General features: G+C 35.2%; 1 protein-coding gene across 10 annotated transcripts in view; it reads right to left on the bottom strand.

Moving 5' to 3' along the window:
* Positions 1-25,313, bottom strand: part of SMCHD1 (structural maintenance of chromosomes flexible hinge domain containing 1) — a 149,292-nt gene that overhangs the window by 32,891 nt on the left and 91,088 nt on the right. For 8 of the 10 annotated variants that reach the window (XR_001753172.2, XR_935055.3, XR_007066135.1 and 5 more), the window contains 11 exons: positions 24,480-24,605; positions 22,005-22,084; positions 21,620-21,777; positions 20,734-20,849; positions 19,575-19,639; positions 11,388-11,475; positions 9,891-10,022; positions 8,338-8,490; positions 2,307-2,433; positions 2,019-2,138; positions 509-594 (listed from right to left, as the gene is read on the bottom strand). Coding sequence is in view for 7 of the 10 variants with exons in the window: in XM_011525642.2 (XP_011523944.1) it covers positions 509-594; positions 2,019-2,138; positions 2,307-2,433; positions 8,338-8,490; positions 9,891-10,022; positions 11,388-11,475; positions 19,575-19,639; positions 20,734-20,849; positions 21,620-21,777; positions 22,005-22,084; positions 24,480-24,605 (1,251 nt within the window). In the remaining 3 variants the exon portion in view is untranslated. Of the gene's footprint in view, positions 1-508; positions 595-2,018; positions 2,139-2,306; positions 2,434-8,337; positions 8,491-9,890; positions 10,023-11,387; positions 11,476-19,574; positions 19,640-20,733; positions 20,850-21,619; positions 21,778-22,004; positions 22,085-24,479; positions 24,606-25,313 lie in introns of those variants that run through there. The other 2 variants (XM_047437428.1, XM_047437429.1) reach the window with 2 other exon arrangements.

The following is a 25,313-nucleotide window of genomic DNA, read 5'->3' as shown; positions in this document are numbered from 1 at the left end:
TTATTAAAAAAAAAACTATCAGAAAATACACACACACACAAAGAAAACACAATTTTAAAAACCATGGTTATAGTAATATAAAGTTCCCACTTCACTGAATTTAAAAAAATCTTAGCCAAGAAATACACTACCTATAATAGGACTTCTCTTGAAACTGAGTTACACATATAAAAGAATATAAATTTTAAAAATCTAGATTGCTTTTTATTTTCTCTTATTTTGTTTACCATCACGTGTAGTGGTTATGCAGCCTTTTCAATGCAGTACTTGAACTGATGTATTATTAATTGCATTTATTGGTGTCATTACATTAAAAATACAAATTGCAATTTCTTTGAATAGAGCACTCTATCATTTTGTTAGTCATTTTTAATGTCTAGTGACGATAATGCACGTCTTTGTACCCTAAAACAACAATACTCAGAATTCCTAATAAAAACTGAATAATTGAGAAAATTGTAGAATAGACTTTAATAAAAAATCTTTCACGTATAGTTGGAAGCTGTACCTGTTGTGTTGTAGGAATGTCAATATTATGTATTTTTAGTTCATTTCGCAATTGGGCCTCTTTTAATCTTGCTTCTTCAACTTGACCTAAAATAAAAAACCAAAAATTTGCATCAATTTCTGATAGCCCCCAAATCATAGTTTTTGAAAAATATTTTAAAGTTCCTTTTGTTTTTTCCTTTTAATGTCTGTTGCTAAAATGAAAACTGATAGGTGACCATTTCAGAAATTCAAAATTAAACTATACATCTTAAGGCTCAATTCTGATATACAAAAATGAGAAAACAAAATTAATGCAACTAAAGGGAGATATGATATACTGCAAACTCCTAGTAATCTTGGATAAGTTACTTAATCTTAATCCACGAGTATACATAATTTATACATAATTGCACAAGGCTGTTCTCAAAGACTTTATAAAAACAATTTTTAGTGCTACACAAATGACATTATCTCACTACTAGATTTAGCTCCTATTATATTCTAAATATCCTTGATCTTGTGCAGGCATACACAAAAGTGAGTACTTTGAGGCAAGCGGTAAATATTTCTTGGTTAACTTGATCAAAATAACACAAGGCCAAAAACCTTAGCAAAAAAATATGACAAATGAAAAGGGAAGAGATGATAGAGCACAACTCAGAAAATGTCTTGTCTTTCAATTATATGAAACATTATTAAGAATTGCAGCAAACGTAGGCTGGGTGTGGTGGCTAACACCTGTAATCCTAGCACTTTGTGGGGGCCAAGGTGGGCAGATCACTTGAGGTAAGAAGTTCGAGACCAGCCCGGCCAACATGGTGAAACCCCGTCTCTACTAAAAATACAAAAATCAGCCAGGCGTGGTGGCATGTGCCTGTAATCCTAGCTACTTGGGAGGCTGAGGCACGAGAATCACTTGAACTTGGGAGGCAGAGGGTGCAGTGAGTGAGATCGTGCCACTGCACTCCAGCCTGGGCGACAGAGACTGTGTCTCAAAAAAAAACAAAAAACAGAAAACAAAACTAAACAAAACAAAACTGCAGCAAACTTTCTGTGAATTGACTCAAGAATAATTTACATATTTCAGTATCAGTGTGTGCTGCCCCAGATACCTCCATAGTATGACAAACTGCAGATGTTTGAAGTAAAATACAAACAGCTCATTACCCAAATGAAAAATTACATTACACATCACTCCCTTGGTGATATTATTATCCAGTATCTTTTGCCAGAAGCTAGAGCTAAATATAAACATTATTATTATGTAGAAAGCCTTAAATTTTCCACAGGTCCAGATTCCTAACAGAACGTGTTGATTTCTTTTAAGCAGGATACAAATTTATTTAAAATAAGAAATACTTCATCTTAAGAATTCTCAATGACAGTATCAACCATCATTACCACCTTTCTGAAACATTCTGTATTTTACTTGTAATTTAGGAAAGTGGAAGCTTGTTTGTGTATCACGATCTCACCTGCCTCATCATTCCCCAAAGCATAATTTTTGTCTTGAATACAAAATGACTTACATTTCATTTCATTAAGAAGCTGTTGGCTGGCTTCAAATAAACTTTTATACATAACAATAGACTGAGATAATTGGTCCTTTTCTTTTGTAAGTGCTGCCATTTGTTGCTGCTTCTTAACATCTAAGAAAAAAAATTGAGATAATTTAAATAATTTAAAAACTGACTTTTCTAAAATATGTCATAAAGTGGTTAGATAGCTAATAAACACCAAGTTAATGGAAAGCAAAACAAGGTTATCTAAAGTATCACTAACAACGGAGTTTAACCATTTATTTCCTAGAAACTTACCATTGTAAAACATGAACGGTAGGATATATGGTTCTAAGGTTCTTGATAAAAGTGGTAGCCGGGGCTCAAATACAATAAAATATTCAGTACTATCCCTTCCAGGACTACTTTCTGCCAGCACCAGACTCTGTACATATAAACAAACAATAGGGGAAAACAAGATTTAAAAAGAAAATTTACAACATATAAATGTTACATAACTCATTATGCTGTTTTCAAGTAAGTGGTTAATTTTAAAGGCCAAAGGCATAGGCTGATCCTTAAGATTCCATTAAACCATTATCACCACCACCACTACCCAAGACATACAACTTTTTACCTTCTGGTATTGGTTTGAAAGCCAAATGATCGTATCAATAAACAGCTTATGTGAAAAGTATATATGATAAAAAATTTCAAGAAAAAGTTATTTCCTTCACATTAGAGATGGCCACTTAAAATTTTGACCTGTAAAATCTTCTTGATTCTAACCTCTAAATTGAAAGCAGCATGAAAGAGCTGATAGTGTGAAAGTTATAAAAACAATCACAAAGCCCAATGCTGAGTTTAAGTTACAGCTGTTAACATGGAAATAGACCCATCAAAGTCCCAGGTGACAGAACAAGAGATTTTGAAAAGCTCTAAAGATTTTTTAAATTGTGTCTTTCTCATTAATGGATAAAAAACCTTTTGATATACTTTAAGACCAAAACATATAACTAGTAAATGACACAAATATATTTTTATCTGAAATGATTTTTTCACACAGTTCTAAGGGAAACGATAGTAGCTGTTTTTGTTTAGACTATAACAATACAATTTACAGAGAAGTAGTATTTTTAAAAAATCTAAATCGATATGGCACTGTAGGTCAATCCATGAAATAAAATTATAAATTACAGCTCACAGACTTTTTCCCAAAGAATATAGAATACAAGCCCACCATTAAACCAACTGCCAATCAGTTTCTGAATGTGGTTTTCAACAGACTTACATAAATGCAAACATGTATTTAAAAAATACTATTTGCATTTTAAAAATAAGTAACATATACTTTAGCAACTTGCTTTCAGCACTCGATTTGATCAATTCATGTGAATGTATAGATGCCAATTTAAAATTTATGTATAGTATAGTATATAGTACTATACTAGTAGTATAGTATATAGTACACTATATACTATACTATATACTGTATACTATATATACTAGTAGTATAGTATATAGTACACTATACTATACTACTCATTCATTGGGTGGCAAATATTTAGTATGTTTACAATTTTTAAACAATTATCTATAACATAGCAAAAATATATCTCCAAATGTTTCTCTGCAAATGTGTTTTCTGGGATGAATAATGAGAAGTATAAGTTTATTTTAAAAGGTAAGTATCAAATTTCCCTTATAAGAAGCTGTATCAATTTATCCTCTCACCAGCAGTATATGGGAGTGCCCAATTCCCCTTATGCTGGCCAACATTTAATATCAATCATATTTTTTTCTAAAAAGGGGAATTAAAAAGCAACCAGTCATTATTATTTTAACTAACATCTCCCTGAGTGGTACTGAAATCATGCTTCTTATGTTTACAGGTTATTTATATTTTCTTTTCCATTAATTGCCTGCTCATATTCTTTGCCCATTTATTTTTCTACCGGTTTGTCTTTTTTTTTTAATTGATTTGCAAGTAGTTCCTTAGGAGGTTTTAGAAATCTGTTCAATATATCAGTCCTTTAATTATATGTATCTAACATACAGTCATGCACCACATAACAATTCACTAACAAAGGACCACATGTACAATGGTGGTCCCAAAAGATTATAATACTGTATTTTACTATACCTTTTCTATGTTTAGATACACAGATACTATTATGTTAAAATTACCTACAGTGTTCAGTACAGTCACATACTGTACAGGTTTGTAGCCTAGGAGAAACAGGTTATGCTGCTGGGTGTGGTGGCTCATGCCTACAATCCCAGCACTTTGGGAGGCCGAGGTGGGTGGATCGTCTGAGGTCAGAGTTCGAGACAAACCTGGCCAACATGGTGAAACCCTGTCTCTACTGAAAAAACAAAAATCAGCTGGGTGTGGTGGGCACGCGCCTGTAGTCCCAGCTACTCGGGAGGCTGAGGTGGGAGGATTGTTTGAACCCAGGAGGCGGAGGTTGCACTGAGCCAAGAGTGCGCCAAAGCACTCCAGCCTGGGTGACAGAGCAAGACTCTGTCTCAAAAAAAAAAAAAAAAAAAAAAAGGAAATAGGTTGTGATATATAGCCCAGGTGTATAGTAGGCTATATCACCTAGGTTTAAGTATACTCTACGATATTTGCACAACAATGAAATCACCTGATGATGTATTTCTTAGAACATATGCCCGTCATTAAGTGATGACATGACTGCATACAGCAAAATCAATATTTCTCCTTAATTTACTACCTTAAAAACTTTTTTTTTCTACTACAGAATCAGATAATAAACCTGATTATCCAGTGTCAACAATTATCAACACATTGTCACTGTTCTTTTAATTCTGTTTAAGATATGCTTACGTACATAAAGTGTAACCTTTTTTTTTTTTTGAGACAGGGTCTTGCTCTGTCACCCAGGCTGGAATGCAGTGGCATAATCATGGCTCACTGCAGTCTCAACCTCTCAGGCTTAAGCTATCTTCCCACCTCAGCTGCCTGAGTAGCTGGGGCTATAGGTGCGTTGTCACCATGCTTGGCTAATTTTTAAATTTTTTGTAGAGATGGGGTTTTGCCATGTTGCCCAAGCTGGTCTTGAAATCCTGGGCTCCAGCAATCCTACCTTGGCCTCCCAAAGTGTTAAGGTTATAGGCATGAGCTACTGTGCCCCGCAGAAAGTGTAACTTTTAATGTAGTTAAATATAATCTTTTCCTTTTTATCTTGTTTGAAGAGGAATCTCCTATCTCAAAGTTTTATAGTTTTTAATCCCTGATGCATACCTACCAAGAAAAAAGGATAAACAGAATAACAGAAATGAAGAGTCCCAAACTGGATCCAAGTATAAACGGAAATTTGGCATATGAGAAACAAACAAATGCATATCAGAATGAAACTTAGACACTGCCATCAGAAATGTCCAGATCATGTAGGCAAATAATACAGTGAATCTGAATAGCACAATTAACAAACTTAAGCAACTACAAATTTAGATTGTAACTTTAAACAAAGCAATAATGTGGAACATTTACAAACATTGGTTGTGCTCTAGACCAGTGTTTCCTAAACTTCCCTAATGATAAGAATCACCTGCTTTTTAAAAATCAGATTCTAGAGCCCTGCTCCAGACATACTAAATCAATATGTGAGGCAGGAGCCAAGAAGGACTTGAGTTTTCTATTGATTCAGTGAGATATCAGGGTCCTCTAGTGGTAAGAGTACAATTTACATGCATGATGTGAAGAGATTTTTATATACAGCTGCTGGGGAATAGCTAAATCTCTTGTCTGAATCTCAGGAGTATATACAGCAGGTTTAGCAATTTCAAATGACCATAAGGGGGCCAAGAAAACTGGAGACAGGCCGGGCACGGCGGCTCACGCCTGTAATCCCAGCACTTTGGGAGGCCGAGGCGGGTGGATCACAAGGTCAGGAGATCGAGACCATCCTGGCAAACACGGTGAAACCCCGTCGCTACTAAAAATACAAAAAATTAGCTAGATGTGGTGGTGGGTGCCTGTAGTACCAGCTACTTGGGAGGCTGAGACAGGAGAATGGCGTGAACCCGGGAGGCAGAGCTTGCAGTGAGGGGCAATCGCGCCACTGCACTCCAGCCTGGGTGAGACAGTGAGACTCTGTCTCCAAAAAAAAAGAAAACTGGACATAGCTAAACAGGAAAACAGGTAAAGTTTTCTTTAGAAAACTTTCTTTAGAAAGAAGACTAGATGTCTTCTTCCAACACAAATCCACTCTGCATGTTAAGTATGTCTCCCCACTCCCCTTTGTTTTTCAACGTGGCTTTCATTACCTAATTTTTGTTAGAGCACAAGAAAATCTTACTTTATTCTCCACTATAATAAAAAAGGAAGAACAAGTGTGAATATAAGTGGTAAATACACATGTCCTCAATGTCAATAAATGAAAAGAAGTGGCATGGAAGCGGCTGACTGGAAACCAGACACACTGACAGGAGCAGTCACTGTTCAGGGTGCACATACAGCTGGCTAAGAGAATCCTCACCCAGTGTTGACAGATCTTTAGATTTCACCAAATAAATTAGAAATGCAGATTTTTATGTAAAAATTCCAGAACTTTAAATGTTGGAAACTAATTACAATGAAAATGCTGTACTGGTCAGTCACTGCCAGACCAATTGACAAGTCTTCAGGCCAGGTACAGCTGGCAGGCTCCTACCGTATAAGCCTAATTTTACTGAAACAATGTGATGCTGCAATGAGTTAGACACAGAAATGAACAACAACAAAAATACAAGAAAAGGTAACATTTCATATCTATTAGTACTGTTAGAATTACTGAAAAGATATCAAGAAAATTAATGGATTTGAAAAAGGGTCAATAAAATCCAGATATATCAAAAATTAAAGAAATTAAGGATATCAGAGATAGCACTGTGAATATGATCTGCCCCTCCAATATAAACAAAGGCAAGTTCTAAAAACAAAAGAACATCTCATGAAAAAGTACTTATATACCAAAGAGCACTAATATTTTTAAGAAAAAAATGAAAATTCTAAAAGAAATGGTCGGTAAACAATCTTAGAAAGATTAAAACCAAAAAATATTCGACAAAAATAAATTTTTAATCAGATACTTGGTTAGAATTTTTAAAAGTGTTCACACATATAGTGTTGCTAATATGAGTAAGATAGACATATACTTCTGGCAGGAATATAAACTGAAGAGCACTGGCAGTAACTACCAAAAGGCTTAAAATATGCATATCCTATCTCTAACGCATTCTGCTTCTAGTAATTTCTTAAAGAAATAATATATGCAAAAGGATATATAGTCATCCCTTGGTATCTGTGGGGTACTAGTTCCAGGACTCCCATAGATACTCAAATCCATGCATACTCACATCCCTGATATAAAATGGTGTCGTATTTGCATACAGCCTATGCACATACTCCATATACTTTGAATCATCCCTAGATTACTTAGTAATAACTACTAAAATGCTATGAAAATAGTTGTTGTATTGTTTATGGAATACTGACAAGAAAAATGTATGTATTCAGTACAGATGAAATTTTTTTCCTAATTATTTTTGAATCTACAGATGTGAAACCCACGGATATGGGGGGCTGACTATACATAGAAGAAAGCTAATGGAAGCACTGTTGATAAAAACAAACTTTAGAAAAGAACTAAATTTTCACTAAGGATTGATCAAATAAACTGTGGTCATTAATATACAATGATGTAGGCTTACTTTTACTAAGAATATATTAGAGATGTTGAACAAGAAAAGATTTTTATAAAGGCACAATTCTATTAATGAAATTTTACACCCTCCGAACATGTATATAAATCATATACACACATGGTATGCAGGCAGCATTAGTGTATATGCCGAAACTCTGGAAGGTAATACTAAGTTGCTAAGCATCTATTATCTCTGACAGGTGACAATATCTTGATTATTTATGGAGGTTCTTGCACTGTATATTTTTAAAATACAAATAAAACTATTTTCATTTTAGAAAAAAATGAGTAACAAAGACAAGTTGTTTAATTAAAATTTACCTGGGCTACATTTTTTGTTTCTATCCACATAACGGCAGCTTTTCAATGAAACATAAAACATCACGTACTGTCACTAAAGTTAAAAACAACTAGAATCAGAGAAAGCTGTTATCCCATAGGAAAAACGAGAGTCTTACTTATAAAGATCTTGGGTTCAATTTGTAATAGCAAAAACAGAAAATATTTCAGCTGACTTCCCAATTTAGTGCTATGATTAGAACATCTTCATAGCTATACAAAAGAAAAGGTGTCTTAATATGGTGGTTAAAAGCATTAAATACAGAAATTCTATCTACCAAAAGATATAAAAAATTTACCATGATTTCAGCCGAACCATTCACGAAGGGGAATTCAAGTGTTCTAACTTTCCCAATAAAAAGTGGGGTATCAGTATCTTCCTCATTAGAGCCTTTAATGGTGGCTATTATAGTGCCAACCAAATCAATTCCAGTATGGTTGTCGTAGTCATCCTTAAAACAAAAAATGGAAAACAATTAGAGAAACTGATGAGAAGATTAAACCCAGAGAAGAGCATGTACAAATCAGAAATAATACAGAGAGCCCCCAACATTAAATTATCTGGATCTTTCTTAGTCTAAGCACAAAATTCAGTTCTAAGTTTGAGTGTTCCACAGGCAAGAAATAGTTCCAGAAACCATAAAAGAACAAGAGACTTCAATACAACAGTTCCTACCTTACTAAATTACAAGGACTCCCATTTTAAAATATCACCTTTTCATGTACTTTTAGTACCTACAGATGTGAAAAAGTGCTTAATAAGTTATTATAAACTTGTAGTGACTTTAAATATTTTATTAACACCAGCAGCACCTGTATACATTTGAAAACCAATAGGCCTATATGTGTTTCTCACAATGTTCGGTGCTTATATGATATTCAAAGACCCTTGGAGTAATTCTATGGCACCGTTTACCCCAACAAGATGTTTTGGGAAAAGAAGAGATGTCTAGGGAAGAATAACCCATCATCTAAAACAGGAAAATAAACTGAAAGTAGACAAGCATCCCACCAACCAAATTTTCCATGAAGGTGCAGTCCCACTACTGTGTTTTACATGTTTTTGTTAATATTTTTGACAGCTGTGTTGCTGCTTATGCTTCATGAAATCTGCAGCCTTGGAGGAGCTCTGATTTTCTTTCTTAACTATGAGCAGTCATCAGAACAGATCTCTTTAAAAAAAATACTTATGTCCTTCAGTCCCCTCAGTGAACCGGACATTGAAGAGTCAATATAGTTCACACTCATTCGTGATAGATACACTAAACAGGTGAGTAAAGGTATGTATTAGAAAAGGTAGCAGCTGGGTGTGGTGGTTCACAGCTGTAATCCCAGCACTTTGGAAGGCTGAGGCAGGAGGATAACATGAGGTCAGGATTTCAAGACCAGCCTGGGCAACACAGCAAAACACAGCAAAACCCCACAGAAAAAAAATTTAAAACTAGCCAGGTGTGGTGCTGTGCACCTTGTGGTCCCAGCTACTCAGGAGGCTGAGGTGGGAGGACTGCTTGAGGTTGCAGTGAGCTATGATTGTGCCATGCTACTCCAGCCTGGGTGACAGAACAAGACCCTGTCTCAAAAAAAAAAAAAAAAAAAGGTAGGCAGATTGAGATTTCTGCATTTTGAGTCAGTTCTGCTTATTATTCTGAATTCATTTTATGTATAATGTTATATATTCTCTATTTGTATTCAAATACAAAGATATTTATAAATATTTAATTCATCTGCACAAGTTTTCCCTATAACCTTAATCAGAGTAACTGACAGAATCCATACAAATAATTTTGTACCCTAAAATCAAAGATAATTTTTCTTGTTACCCTTCGCAGTTTTGGAAGAAAATAAACATTACCGTGATACTAAGATGTAGATCTCTGACCAAGGTCCTACTGGCAACTGAGCGAACATTTGAAACAGCTGGTGTAGGTGGTTTAATTTTAGGTACTAACTTCACAGGTTGATTAGGCAGGACTTCAACTATAACCTTACAAAACAAAAGAGACATTCTGATTAACAATATATTGATGCTTTAGCATTTAAGAGGAAGGGAAGACATAACAATGGCACATACTAAATAAAATTAAATGTTACCTTCTAAAATTTATTTCCATTAATCTTTTAAAAGTAATCAATTTGCTTTTAAAATTCAGCATAAAAAAGTTAGGTCAGGTTAATTTTTGGATGTTTACAGCCATCTAAGAACAAACTTAGAGGTATTAAAAAACATAGGTAATCAAAAAAATTAGTATACCGACAGTTTTTTGTTTTTTTGAGACAGAGTCTCACTGTGACACCCAGGCTGGAGTGCAGAGGGGTGATCTCTGCTCACTGCAACCTCCGCCTCCTGGGTTCAAGCGATTCTCCTGCCTCAGCCTCCTGAATAGCTGGGACTACAGGTGTGCGCCCACCACGCCCAGATGATTTTTGTATTTTTAGTAGAGGAGGGGTTTCACCATATTGGCCAGGCTGGTCTTGAACTCTTGACCTCAAGTGATCTGCCCACCTCGGCCTCCCAAACTGCTGGGATTACAGGCGTGAGCCACTGCACCCAGCCTATACCAACAGTATTATATGTAGATGTGTATTTAAACTGCCTTGAACATCACTATCCAGAATTCTAATAACTGAAATACTATTTATTTTTAATTTCCAACTTTCATTATTTTAAAAATTATCTTAGATTCAGGGGGTGTATGTGCAAGTGTATTACATGAGTATATTGCAGGATGCTGAGGTTTGGGCTTCTAATGATCCCGTCACCCAAGTAGCAAACACAGTACCTAATAGGTAGTTTTTCAACTCTTGCCCACCTCCCTCTTTCCCCTCTTTTGCAATCCCCAGCGTTTACTGTTCCCATCTTTGTGTCCGTGTGTACCCAATGTTTAGCTCCCACTTGCAAGGGAGAACATGCAGTATTTGGTTTTTAGTTTCTTAATTAATTTACTTAGGATAATGGCCTCTAGCCACATCCATGTTGCTGCAAAGGACATAATTTCGTTCTCTTGTTATGGCTGTGTGAAATATTACTAATATTTTTCATGCATGGTTGATATAAGCAACTTTACAACACTACACACTAAAATGCTGAGTCTTTGATATAAAGAGAAATGGAAATGTGACTCCTGTAACAGGTCAAATTATTGAACAAATTTAAACATATTATATACTAATTTTCCTGAAAATTGAATTATTTATATTTCACATCCAATAATTACTTCACTTTTAAACAAAATATTTCATTCATAAACTAAATGAGAAAATGTGAAGCTATTTCATGTAATGCAGAACCAAGAGGGAAAAAAAAAGAAAATGTAAAGCTAACTGTGGTATATAAAAAAAGTAAGCAAACCTGTTCACTGTTGAGAATATTTGTTTTATCCATCATAAAACCAAACTGGATACAATATGTCCCCACTTTATTAGGAATTACTTTATCCCTAAATTTAAAAGAAAGTTAAGATTACTGACAATGTTTGTATAAAGGGGGAAGGAATTCAAAGAGTCAACATTTCTGTTCTTTCCACAAAAATAAATGAGTAGGAAGAATAGAACTACTAATAGTATATTGACCTTCATTCGTTCAACAAATATTTCTTGCTTACTCCCAGGTTCCTCTTACCTGTACATTCTTTTACAAAACATCCAGAATAAACGTGCTGGATATGGTAAAAATTGAAAGAACAGGAATATGAAGTTGAGAAAGCAGTAAATACGTAAAAAATGCTGAATTACATGTCAAGTAAATTTTGCTTCATTTCTACTTTATGAATTTCTAAGCGACAGTTTTGTATTTCAAAATTATAGAACATCCTGCTGATCTTCTATGTAACTTTTTTTCCATTCAAGTACTATTTGAAATATTTAACTACACATACAAGGTATTTACTGTGAATCAATTACCAATAATGAACTCAGTGCCTAAGAAGAGGTACACTTATTAACCTATTTTTGGTCACGCTTTACCACAAAGAAAATATGAATAATATTCTACAATATGTGCGATGTGGCTCATGATCCCTAGGGTAGCTTTTGCATGTCATTCATATTCTCAAAATACCGGCTCAATGCAGTACAAAGCACAGGCTTTGAATACATACTTGAATTCAAATCCCGACACTGTAACATCTATGCAACCTTGAAGAAAATTATTTAACCTTTCTCTATATTGTTTTCTCTGAGATGGTAATTCCTAAGAAAGTTATATTGAGAATTTAAACAAGGCTGGGCGCAGTGGCTCATGCCTGTAATCCCAGAAATTTGGGAGGCTGAGGCAGGCGGATCACTTGAGGTCAGGAGTTCAAGACCAGCCTGGCCAACATGGCGAAACCCCATCTCTACTATTAATATAAAAATGAGCCAGGCATGGTGGTGTGCGCCTGTAGTCCCCGCTATTCAGGAGGCTGAGGCAGGAGAATCGCTTGAACCCGGAAGGCAGAGGTTGCTGTGAGCCAAGATCACTCCACTGCACTCCAGCTTGGGTGACAGAGTGAGACTCTATCTCAAAAAAAAAAAAAAAAGAGAGAATTAAAACGGACTTCTGCTTCCAAATGGCAGGCCAACCCTTCATGATGAAAACAGCTGTACAAAAAAAAAAAAAAATTGCTTGAAAATGTTAGAGTTAACAAGCTAAAGTAAAAAATAACTTAGTAGAATATAAGATAGAAAGGAGGCCCTGGGATATAAATTTCATATTTAAGGATGCTTTAGTCCTGGGAGTAAATTCTAGCAGCACAGGTAAACCTAAAGCAGACCAGCTTGCAAAAGAAATGCAACTTCCTTTGAATCATGTCAATCTCTGAAACTGAAGTGGTAATAGATGGGTAGCAGCCCAGACAACGGACAGAAGCAAATGTAACACACTCTTATCCTATATATCCAATTATTTCTATAAATATTCATAAATAAAATGTCTAGTACAACAATACTAGAATCACCAGATACATGAAGGACAGAACTAGAATGAAAACCAACAGAAACTAAGAGAAAATCACAACAGACCTAAAGGAACTCTAGGCAGACTTTAATACATTGATTAACTGAAAACGTCAAACAGAAATTGGCAACTGAAGGAGGGACTTAACAGAAAATCAGATGTCACTGAAGAGAGAATTAGTTAACTGAAGATAGTTCAAAGTAATCATCTGGAAGGAAGAGAGGTAAAAGAATGGCAAAATTTTTAAAAACTGAAGACCACGAAATCAAAGCCCGTGAAAACCAAGCAGGATGTAAAAAAGAAATCCACATAGACATATCACAGTAAAACTGCTGGGCAGGGGATGGGGTGGGGGCAGGGGAGGAACCAACCACAAAATAACCAAAGGAGGGAAAATACATTTTTTTAAAACAATAATGAGACTGACAACAGAATGAGATAGTGAAGGATGGTGGTTAAGAAATTGCTGACCTTGAATACCATATGCAGTAAAAATATCCTTCAAGTATGAAGGTGGAATAAAGATATTTTCAGGTAAAAATAAGATAATTCATCACCAGCAGACATATTGAAGGAACTTCCTAAGATGGAAAACAATACCAGATGAAAGCCTTGAGTTAAAGATTAACAGAAAGGATAAATGAGTAAATCCCAATAAACACTGATTGTAGGCAATAAAAATGATGCCTTGATAGGTTTAACATTCACAACAAAAAGGCATGTAAATTGGGAGAAGGGAATGGAAGTAAATGTTCTAAGATCCATGCACTGCTTAAGAAGGTAAAAAAATACAAATTGTTACTAGATACTGGCATGTCAAGTATACACGTTACAAATCTCCAAGGAAATCACTTAGAGAACAGTGAAAGATTGTATAACTACCAGAAAATGACTATTAGAAACAATAAATCAAAAAGGAAAACAGGAAAGAGAAGGGAAAAAACAGTTAGATCATACAGAAAACAAAACAGATCCAAAACCAAGTGAATTGGTATATGTAAGACCTAAACTTTCAATGAGAAGACAAAGATTATCAGGAAAAAAACGATAATGCCATTTACAAAAGATACACTTAAAAGAATATATCTATCTATCTATCTATCTATATATGCAAACACTAATCCTCATGATTCCCAAAGTGGCTTTTTCATGTCATTCATAGGGAAAGTTGGTATACTATTACCAAAGTAAACTTTAAGGCAAAAACGTTACTAGAGAAAAAGAATACTTCATAATAATAAAAGGTTTAATTTGCAAGAAAAAAATAATAATAATAATCTAAGTCTGTATGTACCTAATAACAAAGCCTCAAAATATGTATTTGTTCTCTTATGTAAACTAAGAGAAAAAATAGACAAATCTTCGTTCATACTTGGAGATTTACTACACTGCTAGGTGAAACAGACAAAAAATATAAAAGATATAGAACACTGTACCTCAAATGCAAAAATCACATTATTATCTAGTATATTTGGAACATATACAAAAATTGACTATATTCCCAGCACAAAAACAAATAACAACTAATTTCAAAGGACTGAAATCATACAGGGTAAACTAAATTTCACAATTCAGTAAACATCTGAATAAGCCATGGTCAAAGGATGAAATCACAATGAAAATTAGAAAATATTTTAATCCAAGGGTGGGCTCAGTGGCTCATGCCTGTAATCAGCACTTTGGGAAGCTGCAGTGAGAGGACTGCTTGAGACCAAGAGTTTGAGACCAATCTGGGCAACACAGTGAGGCCCTGATATCTACCAAATTAAAAAAAAAAATTAGCTGGGTGTGGTGGCACACATCTGTAGTCCTAGCTACTAAGGAGACTAAGGTGGGAGGATTGCTTGAATCCAGGAGTTCAAGGCTGTAATGAGTTATAATCACACCATGGCCCTCCAGCCAGGATGAAAGAGCGACACTCTGGTTCAAAAAAAGAAAAAAGAAAAAACAATTTTTGATCCAAATACTAATAAAAATAAAATACATAAAACTTGTGAATGCTATTAAAGTTATGCTTAGAAATGTACAGCTCTACATACATATACACATATACATGTTTTGTGTGTGTGACCAAAATAAATGAGCTAAAAAACCTTCTCAAGCAGTTTTAATAAAAGAACAAATGAAATGCAAAGTAAATGAAATTAAATAAAACACATAAAATATATTTTAAAAGCCCAAAGTTTGTTCTTTAAAAGATCTAAAAAATTGAAATCTCTTACTACGATTAATCAAGCCACAAGAGAGTACAAATAGTGTCAAGAATGAGAGATCACAGATCTTACAGAAAATAAACAGAACGGTATGAACAACAAATTTGAAAATTTAGATAAAATTAATAGTCTGACAGCCTATTTATTTAAATTATCTATTTATTTAGATAAAATTGATAGTCTGACAGACAGTGGTGGTGCATGCCTATAGTTCCAGCTACTTGGGAGGCTGAGGCAGGAGAATCGCTTGAACAGGGAGGTGGAGGTTGCAGTGAGCTGAGATCATGCCACTGCACTCCAGCCTGGGAAACAGAGCGAGACTCTGTCTCAGAAAAAAAAGATAGTTTGATAATTACAAGATATCAAAACTGAGCAAGAGACAGGAAATACAAATAGTTCTATAACTTCTGAATTTGAACAAACTGAATCCATCACTAAAACCTTCCCCCCACAAAAACACCAGGCTCAGATGGCTTCGTTGATGAATCTATCACCATTTAAGGAAGGAATAACACTCTTAAGATTCTCCTAAGAATAAACCAAGACTGAGGGAAAATTTCTTCCTACTTTTGTGAGGGCTACATGATGTAGACAGCAAACTAAGAATGTGTAAGAAAGAAAATGCAGGTTAATTTCAAAGATCAAGGTAGATGCAAAAATCCTAAGAAAATATTAGCAAAACACCTCCATCGATATATAAAAATAATACAACATGATAAAATTGGGTTTATTCCAGTAATTGCAAGGTTGGCTGACCATTCAGAAAACTAATGTACTATAATTACCACATTAAAAAGTAAAGTAATAATGTCTTAAAGGATTTTAAAAGTAAAGGAAAAATATCACATAGTGCCTCAATAGATGATGAAATCTGAAGTCAATTTATAATTAAGACTTAGAAATGAACAGTTTGATAAAAGAAAAACTCTAAAGCAAACATCACACTTAGTGGTGGAATGCTGAAATGTTCCCTTTGAGATTCGAAACCAGATTAGGATGATCACTCTCATCATGTCTATTTAACATTTTGCTGTAAATCCAAGATGCTGTGGTATGATAAGAAAAAGAAAATACACGGCCGAGGGCGGTGATTCACACCTGTAATCCCAGCACTTTGGGAGGCCAAGGCGGGTGGATCACAATGTCAGAAGATCGAGATCATCCTGGCTAACACAGTGAAACCCTGTCTCTACTAAAAATACAAAAAATTAGCTGGGCGTGGTGGCAGGTGCCTATAGTCCCAGCTACTCCGGAGGCTGAGGCAGGAGAATGGCATGAACCCGGGAGGCAGAGCTTGCAGTGAGCCAAGATCATGCTACTGCACTCCAGCCTGGGAGACAGAGCAAGACTCCATCTCAAAAAAAAAAAAAAAAAAAAGAAAGAAAGAAAAAGAAAATACACAAAAACTGGAAAATAACAAACCTACTATTATAAATCCTAGACATTTTTCTTAAATCCCAAAGAATCTACAAATAAAATCAGAGCCAGGAGTGGTGGCTCACATCTGTAATCCCAGCACTTTGGGAGGCTGAGGTGGGAGGATTGCTTGAACTCAGGAGTTCAAGACCTGCAATGAGACCTTGAGTCCACAAAAATTAAAAAATCAACCAAGTGTGGTGGTGTGGGCCCATAGTCCCAGCTAGTTGGTAGGCTAAGGCCCAAGAGTTTAAGACAAGCCCAGACAACATAGTAAGACCCTGTCTCCACAAAAAATAAAATCATAAGTCAGGCGTAGTGCTGTGGGTCTGTAGTCCCAGCTGCCTGAGAGGCTGAGGTAGGAAGATTGCTTGAGCCTGGGAGGTCAAGGCTACAGTGAGCCATGATTGCACCACTGCACTACAGCCTGGGTGACATAGTGAGACCCTGTCTCTAAATTAATTAATTAATTATTTAAAATAAGAAATGAAGGAGTTTAACAAAGATAACTGCTACAAGGTCAATATACATAAATCAATTGCATCTCTCTAACCAAAAACAACAGAAAATAAAAATGTTTTAGGAGATATCATTTACGATGGACCTCATGTGATCTGCCTGCCTCTGCCTCCCAAAGTGCTGGGATTATAGGTGTGAGCCACCGCACCTGGCCTCACACTATACATTAAAAAAAAAAAAAATCAATTCCACGTATAACTGTATAAAAAGAACACAGCAAACCTAAAGTGCTATCCTTAGAAGCACTTGTCTGCTTGCAAGATGGGCCCTTCGCAGACATCTGTGAGTTTAGATTTCAGGAGGGTTCTCACCTTTAACTGATATGAGTGGCTCACATTGCCTAAACCACTGCACTAATATGGTTTATGCTACACACTTGCTTTTCTTCTGAAAATCTGGTATTTGCTAGGCAGAGGCTGCCTATGTGACCACACCCTAACAAAAACCCTGAATGCTGAGTCCCCAGTGAGCTTCCCTGGTTGACAACATTTTATACGCATTGTCACAATTTATTGTTGGGGAATTAAGCACATACTCTGTGACTTCACCAAGACAGAATCCTTGGAAAGCTTCCTCTGTGTCTGCTTTCCCTTGGACATCACCCCATGAGCTTTTTACCTTGCTCATTTCACTTTGAATCCTTTTGTTTCAATAAAACATAGCTATGAGCCCAGCTATATATTAAGTCCTGTGAGTCCTCCTGGTGAATCATCAAACCTGGCATTGGTATTGGGAACCCCCAACACAATAATATAGTAAAATGTGTTGATGACCTAAATGTAAGGAAAGACTTAAACAGGACACAAAGAAGATCAACTATAAAAAAGATGATTAACACATTTGCTTATATAAAAATTAACCACTGCTGTTCAAGATATCATAAAATGAGAAAGCAAGCCACAGGATAGGCAAAGATGTCTAAACAAAAGGCTTGTATCTCTAATATATAAAGAACTCCTACAAATTAATATAAAAAATAATACAAAAGTTATTAAGATACTCAAAAAAGGCACTTCACAAAAGGTAATCTAAGTGGCCAATAAATATATGATAAACAGGGAAATGCAAATTAAGAGTAAGTGTGATGCCACTCTATTACATGTCCACCAGAAGATTACACCTGAAAAGACCCACAAAACCGTGTTGGGAAGGGCCGGGCACGGTGGCTCATGCTTGTAATCCCACCATTTTGGGAGGCTGAGGTGGGCAGATGGCTTTGAGCTCAGGAGTTCGAGACTAGCCAGAGCAACTTGGTGAAACCCAGTCTCCACACACACACAAAATAAATAAATAAATAAATTTGCTGGGCATGGCAGCACATTCCTGTAGTCCTAGCTACTTGGGAGGCTGAGGCAGGGGGCTCGCTTGAGCCAGGGAAGCAGAGGTTGCAGTGAGCCACTGCACTCTAGGCATTGCACTCTAGCAAGGCTATGTATTAAAAAGAAATAAACCCTCAAGCTACTCAAGTTAAACACACACATCTATGTTTAACATCTATATTTAACATCTAACATACACATCTATATTTAAATATACACATCTATGAACTTATGACCCAGCAATTTTACTTTTATATGAGCACCAGTGTTATAAAGATTATTTGTAATAGCCCAAAATTGAAAATGCAAATAGCCATTAACAGAATGGAAAATAGTAGTGTGTTCACACAATGGACTTCTATACAGCAATGGAAATGAATGAATTTATAGCTATATGCCACAGAATCTCATGATGCTGAGTGAAAGAAGTCTTATGCAAAGGAAAATAATTGTATATCAAGTTCAAAAATGGGCACAACTAAATCAGAGACTATAGAGATGTATGCTAAGATAAACGGAACTCTAAATAAGACCAAATCAGGAGAGGGTTTGTGGTGTGTGCATGTGTGTGTCTACATGAGTGTGTGCATGGCATGCACAACAGGAAGGAAGACGGTAATAACTGGAAGAGGTAAGGGGTGGAGCTTCCATGATTGGTCCTTTACCAATTAGTCTGAAAAAGCACTGAACAAATATAATGAGCATTTTGACCCTATTGATGATAAAGGATTTGTAAAGAAACTTAACACATAATGTTTTTAGATTTGAAAATGGAGGTCCAGAATGAAGCAGCAACATGCTCAAAGTCACAGAAATGTTAAAAGCCAGTCTAATCTTTATAGAAACCTCCTATATAATAAGAAGTTATAAAGTGCCCTGACAACATAAAAGAATTCTTCTGATGGCTTCGATAGTTTCAAAAGCAAATACAATTACAATTTACAAAGCTTAAAACCAATTTAATGCTTAAAAACGAAAACACACCTTTTCCCAAAAAACTGAGAAAAATTTAGAGACACTAACATTTCTATTTGATCATAAATTACTTTTCCTCAGGTGAGCCCACATATATCTCCAGGGTTGAATTACTTTGTAACAAGATATGTATTCAAAATATGAAATGTTTTGAGAAATACCTGAAATAGAAGCAGCCATCTTCTTTGTCATTATCTTTTATTTTATTACAACTAAATGTTTCTGCCTAGAAAGGGGAGTAGGAGAGAAGGGGAGAGGGGAAAATGACAAAATTTAACATAGTATACTTAGGAGGAAAGCTTATTATATACCTAAACTGAATGTGTATCTGGATTCCATTTATAAACATACAGGTATATATACACACGTTTATATCTTCATAATACATGTAAGGTACAATGTGAGATTAGTGACAGTGGAAAGACACCCCATTATTAAAAGACACACAGTAGAACTTTATGGTGATATTATTTAAAGATAATACCAACTTGATTGGACTGATGGTCTAAATTAAGCAAGCAAAGATTCAGGATTAATTAAGCAAGATAGTTTCCAAAACCAATGATTAAAATGAACCATAAATGTTGAAGTAGATTATTATATCAGGACACTGATAAACTTTAGTTCCCAATTTTAGATTTATTTCAGATCTGCATTATCCAATATGGTAGCCAATGGCTATGTGTGACTACTGGGCACTTGAAATGTGGCTGGTCTGAACTGATATACAGTGTAAAATAAACACCAAATTTCATAGACTTGGTAAGATAAAAGAACGTAAAATCCTAGCAATAATTTTTAAACTATTGAATATATGTTGAAATGGTAACTTTTGATATATTAGGTTAAAAACATTAGAATTTTACTTATTTCTTTTTAGCTTTTAAATGTAGCTACTAGAAAGCAGAAACACCAGGTATGATCTTTCCACTGGACAGCACTGTTCTAGACCCTCTAACTCTCCACTCTCTTTCAAGCAGTCTATCAATCCTATCTCTTTACTATCTCATTTTCTATATTATCCCCTCATATTTAATAGCTTCTGCCTTGTGCTACTGTCCTTCAGATGAAATAATTTTAATGTGTAGGCATCTTAAAATGTTAAGAAACATCACAATGTAGACTACTCTTTTTCAATAGCATCAATCTTTAATTTTGAAACATACATTGATGTAATTTCTTTAACCCCAAAGGAATGAAGTAAATTCACTTCCATTTCTCAAATTTATATAACATTATATATTTACATTAAAGGAGACTTAGTTTTAAGTTAAATGTAAGAACTATTTTTAACTTCAAAAAATGCTTCCCATGACTCACATTTGCTGGGGGTCGGTTCCCACTGGTAGACAGCTTCCACATTTTCATGGAAATACGTGCTGGATTAATGTTTTTAATGATACTGTCATCTTCAGAAATAACACTAATCATAAAATCTGTCATGGTAAACGTTAAAAAATTATCTCTTTCTAGTTCAATTAATGGATATGGTTAAATAATTGTATGCCTTAAAGCAAACATCTTATTTAAATGTTTAAAGCACACGTTATTTAAATGTTAATACAATTCTGATGAAGAAATGTATAAATTCTAGCATACAAGACCAAAAAGACTAGAATGTATACTCAGCAACTTAAGAGTTAGGCCAATTGGTCATAGCACCATATGCTTTATGTATTCCAAGAACAGAATATTTACTTTCTTGTATGATTTTCGATAGCATATAATAGCCAAAAGATCAATATATATAATATTCCCATTATATTTACCACCTGTAACATTCATTTGGCACCTGTTACTAATTTTTTAATCACAGGAAATAGATCTCCCTGAAATAGATTTAAAACTTTATATACGGTATAGTCTACTTTATAGGGTAAAAAAAGCTATGTATACATGTAACTTGATTATTAAAAATTATTGTCAACAATTTTTAAATCTAAACTTTGAGGTGCTTCATTCACTACTTAAAACTATGTATAGGGATTCATCCTTTTAAGAAAACAGAAGTCTTCCAGAAAATTATTTGTGTAAAACAAAAACTAATTTCCTATTGACTTAACATCTGCAACATGATATTGAAATCATTTGCTTCCCTGTCTCCTACATTAGACTGAGCACACTTAACCTAGGATAAGTAATTTATTCCACTAATGTACAAAGCAAATTATCATTATAGATTTATTTATGTATGTGAAATACTCACCAGTGAAAAGACCCCCTGCTAAGAAGGATGCATCTTTGTCATATTTAACATTGAGACGAACGGGTTTTTCTGGGTCTGGAAGAATCATTAACTTAATTATAGGTCCTTCTATGATACTTTTGTTATAGATGGCTTTAACCTGAAGAGTATGCTCTCCCCTAACAAAACAAAAGAGGAGAGGGGTTCAAATTACATTAGTTAATAACCTAAAAATTCTGAGACAATTTATGCAAAGTTCAACTCTTAGAAAAACCTCTCAACTTCTATTCAGTCCCAACTCTTGCCTAACATTAAACAGAAGGATAGTCATTAGCTGTAACTTCGGCAAGCAGTAAGAAAAACGAATCTCTATAACACCAACAACTATCAAACTTTTGGTTCTTACCTAGGGGCAAAAACACTGAATACTCCCAAATTAGCCCTGCCTTTCTCATCTGTTTTATGCTGTTGGTTTGAAGGCATGAGCTAAAAACAAAACAAAACAAAATGGTTAATTAGAAAATTCTAGAGATCAATCAAGTTCTTTTCTTCCATTACAATGTTCTTTCCCTCTATTCCTATTTTAAAAGCAGTATTTGCATACTTCTAAAATCTAAATTTTAAAAATCTGAACTAGTTGGAATAATGTAGTATGTAATGATATAATCCAAAGTAGAATAACAATCACTCATCTTGATCAATTTCACTAGAATTTAATGTATTTCAGTTACTAAGTTGCAGATTTCTAGTTCACTGTTTCAATATCACTGATAGATCAAATGAAGTTTGTTTACACAAACACAGAAGGTATATTCTAAAGCTGGGGCAGGTATAGGGGACTGCACTGGAGAAATATATACTGTACACACATACTCAAGTCAAAGCATCATAGCACTATCTTCATTCTTCATTTTTCTCTTGAAAGTCTACTCAGATACACTTCTCAAATTTTTGCTGCAATACTACATTCACAGTGATAACCAAGCTTTCACTTTCAAGAGATTAAGAATCAGTGGCCACATTTCCTAATAACTGGTCTAGAAGGGTCTCTCAGCCTTTTACAGATGGTTCTCCAGAAACTAGAATCATATCTTTATTCTGGGGTTGAAAGTAATCATTGTCTAACTCTACTGGAAGCAAACATTCAGAATAACAGTGAATTTGTAGACCACAGTAGAAGAAAAATCAGACTTTCTCCCAAATCCTAAAACCCATCTCAACTTAATAGAACCTAAAGAGTAGGTAATAATGGTACATGCAGACAGGAAAAGCAATAGCTGAACAGGAAAAAATGAGAAAGGGTACTTGAAATGATAGGATGAAATCCTATGTTTATACCTGTCCCAATTACCCTCTGGTCCATTGTCTCTCAACCCATCTTTCTCAAAGTATGTCTCCCATCTGGGTATCAAATCCTTACTGCTAAGCCAGAGAAGTAAGTCTTTTCAGGTCTTAGAGCAGCAGTATCATAGCCTCATTTAACAGACTCATTTAAAAACTCCAACTGTAATTACTATGAAAACAGGTCCATGTGTAACAAGCCATTCTTGGCACTTTAATCTTCCATACGACTTTTAAGATCACCTTTTCAGGTTCTGGGAAATCCCTGTTGGGATTCTGATTGAACTATAAATAATTGCAAGAGAAACATCATCTTTACATGATATCAACTGGTTTCTCCATTACATTTATATTTATTTTTTATATGTGGAGGGATACTCAAGATTGTCTGAATATGACCCCAACTCCCTCTGGCTTGCTTAGCAACAACCTGGCTGGGACCAATGAATTCCCTTCAACCAACAGAAGAGACAGTATAAAAATACAACTTTATGGCCAGGCGCAGTGGCTCACACCTGTAATCCCAGCACTTTGGGAGACCAAGGCGGGTGGATCACCCGCGGTCAAGAGTTTGAGACCAGCCTGGCCAACGTGGTGAAACCCCGTCTGTACTAAAAATACAAAAATTAGCTGGGCATGATGGCACATGCCTGTAATCCCAACTACTCAGGAGGCGGAGGCAGGAGAATTGCTTTGAACCTGGGAGGCAGAGGTTGCAGTGAGCCAAGATCACGCCACTGCACTCCAGCCTGGGGCGTTGCAGCGAGACTCTGTCTCCAAAAAAAAAAAAAAAAAAATTTATATACACACACACACACACACACACACACACACACACACACACAACTTTGCAAAGACTAGCAGCTTTTCCTCTTTCCCCTAGAAGGAGTGCCTCCAACTTTGCACCAGCCACTAGATCCCATGCAGCTTCTCAATACTCATAGGAATAAATGATACCTAATCTTGAACTTTCTGGTAGTCAAGACTGTTCCCAAACTTTACAAGACCATGTTCATACTTGCCCCATAAAAAGAACAATAAAGGGCAGGAGCCTCACCCTAAAATATATCAGTATGTTCCAGTAGCTCTGCCCAGGATTTGGTAGCTCTCCATAAGATAAGTAGAGGATAGGTACCTGCAAGACTTTTTTTGTTTAGCCTCACCATGTATGTTTCCCCAATAATGCCTGTTCCTTAATCCATTCTGTAGGTCACTGTGATATCTGTCTTCATTCACTTTGTCAGTGTTAATTATCTATTTATTCATCCTAATCTGAAATGCAAGTCTTACTAGCACTATATAAGAAACACTAAAACAGCCATAACTGTACAATGTTGGCCCCTTGTTGTACTACTGTAAGATATAAACTTTATTTCCTCAAAATAATTTTAAAAATTTTTGAGGTTTATTTACACTAAGCAATAATAAAGATTATGTAAAATATATTTTTTAGAAAAGAAGCAATATGACAGCTAAAGATACTATCATGAAAATGAAATCCAGAATTTTAAATGAAGATGTAAGGAAGTTTAAAACTTACCTTTAAATTGCTAGCTTTTGTAAGACTTATTTTAACATGTTGTACCGGTGCTGGATTATCCCACTGATCACAAAGTTGAACAATAATAGGGTTCTGTAAATCTCTTCCATTAATCACTGGAATGGACTGAAAAGAATAGAAATATTTTAAGAAACACTAAAATATATGGGCCAAACAATGCAATTACTTGTATATTTGTGTAACGATCACTTAATTTATCTCTGTTCTATTTGCAAATGGCTTCTTTGGTCAATGAAAATGAACTTTTGAAAGCCAACTAAATTGTGTGACCCTCTTATCAAAATGATAAATGATCTGAAAAAAGAAAAAGCAACACCTGACATTACAGTCTTCCCTCAGTATCCACAGGAGATTGGTTCTAGACCCCAGTGGATACCAAAAGCTGCAGGTACTCTTTTATATAAAATTGCATAGTATTTGCATATAACCTAAGCATACACTTGAAATCATCTTTAGATTACTTTTAACATCTAATACAACGCAAATGCTATGTAAGCACTAGAATGTGTTCAACAGCAACAGAAACCTATCTTTGGTTCTCAGATTTAGCATTGGCAATCTGTAGTTTAGCTTCTCCCTCAGTCAGTGTTCAGCTCTCTGCTATTGTGCATTAAAAGCAGTAACATGGCTTTCTAGCCCTTGGTTAAATAGGACTATTCACTGATGATCTACACTGTCTTGCTGATTTAAAATGCTTCTTGCTGTTTCCCCAGCTAGTATATAAGGCTGTATAAATCTAGAAATCTGCCTACTGACCTATTAATATTGGGCACATCAAAGGAAACACAGTGTTAAACAAGATACCTGACAAAA

The sequence above is a fragment of the Homo sapiens genome, chromosome 18 (genome assembly GCF_000001405.40).
Source record: "Homo sapiens chromosome 18, GRCh38.p14 Primary Assembly".
Taxonomy (NCBI): domain Eukaryota; kingdom Metazoa; phylum Chordata; class Mammalia; order Primates; family Hominidae; genus Homo; species Homo sapiens.
This window is presented reverse-complemented; position numbering and strand designations above follow the sequence as displayed.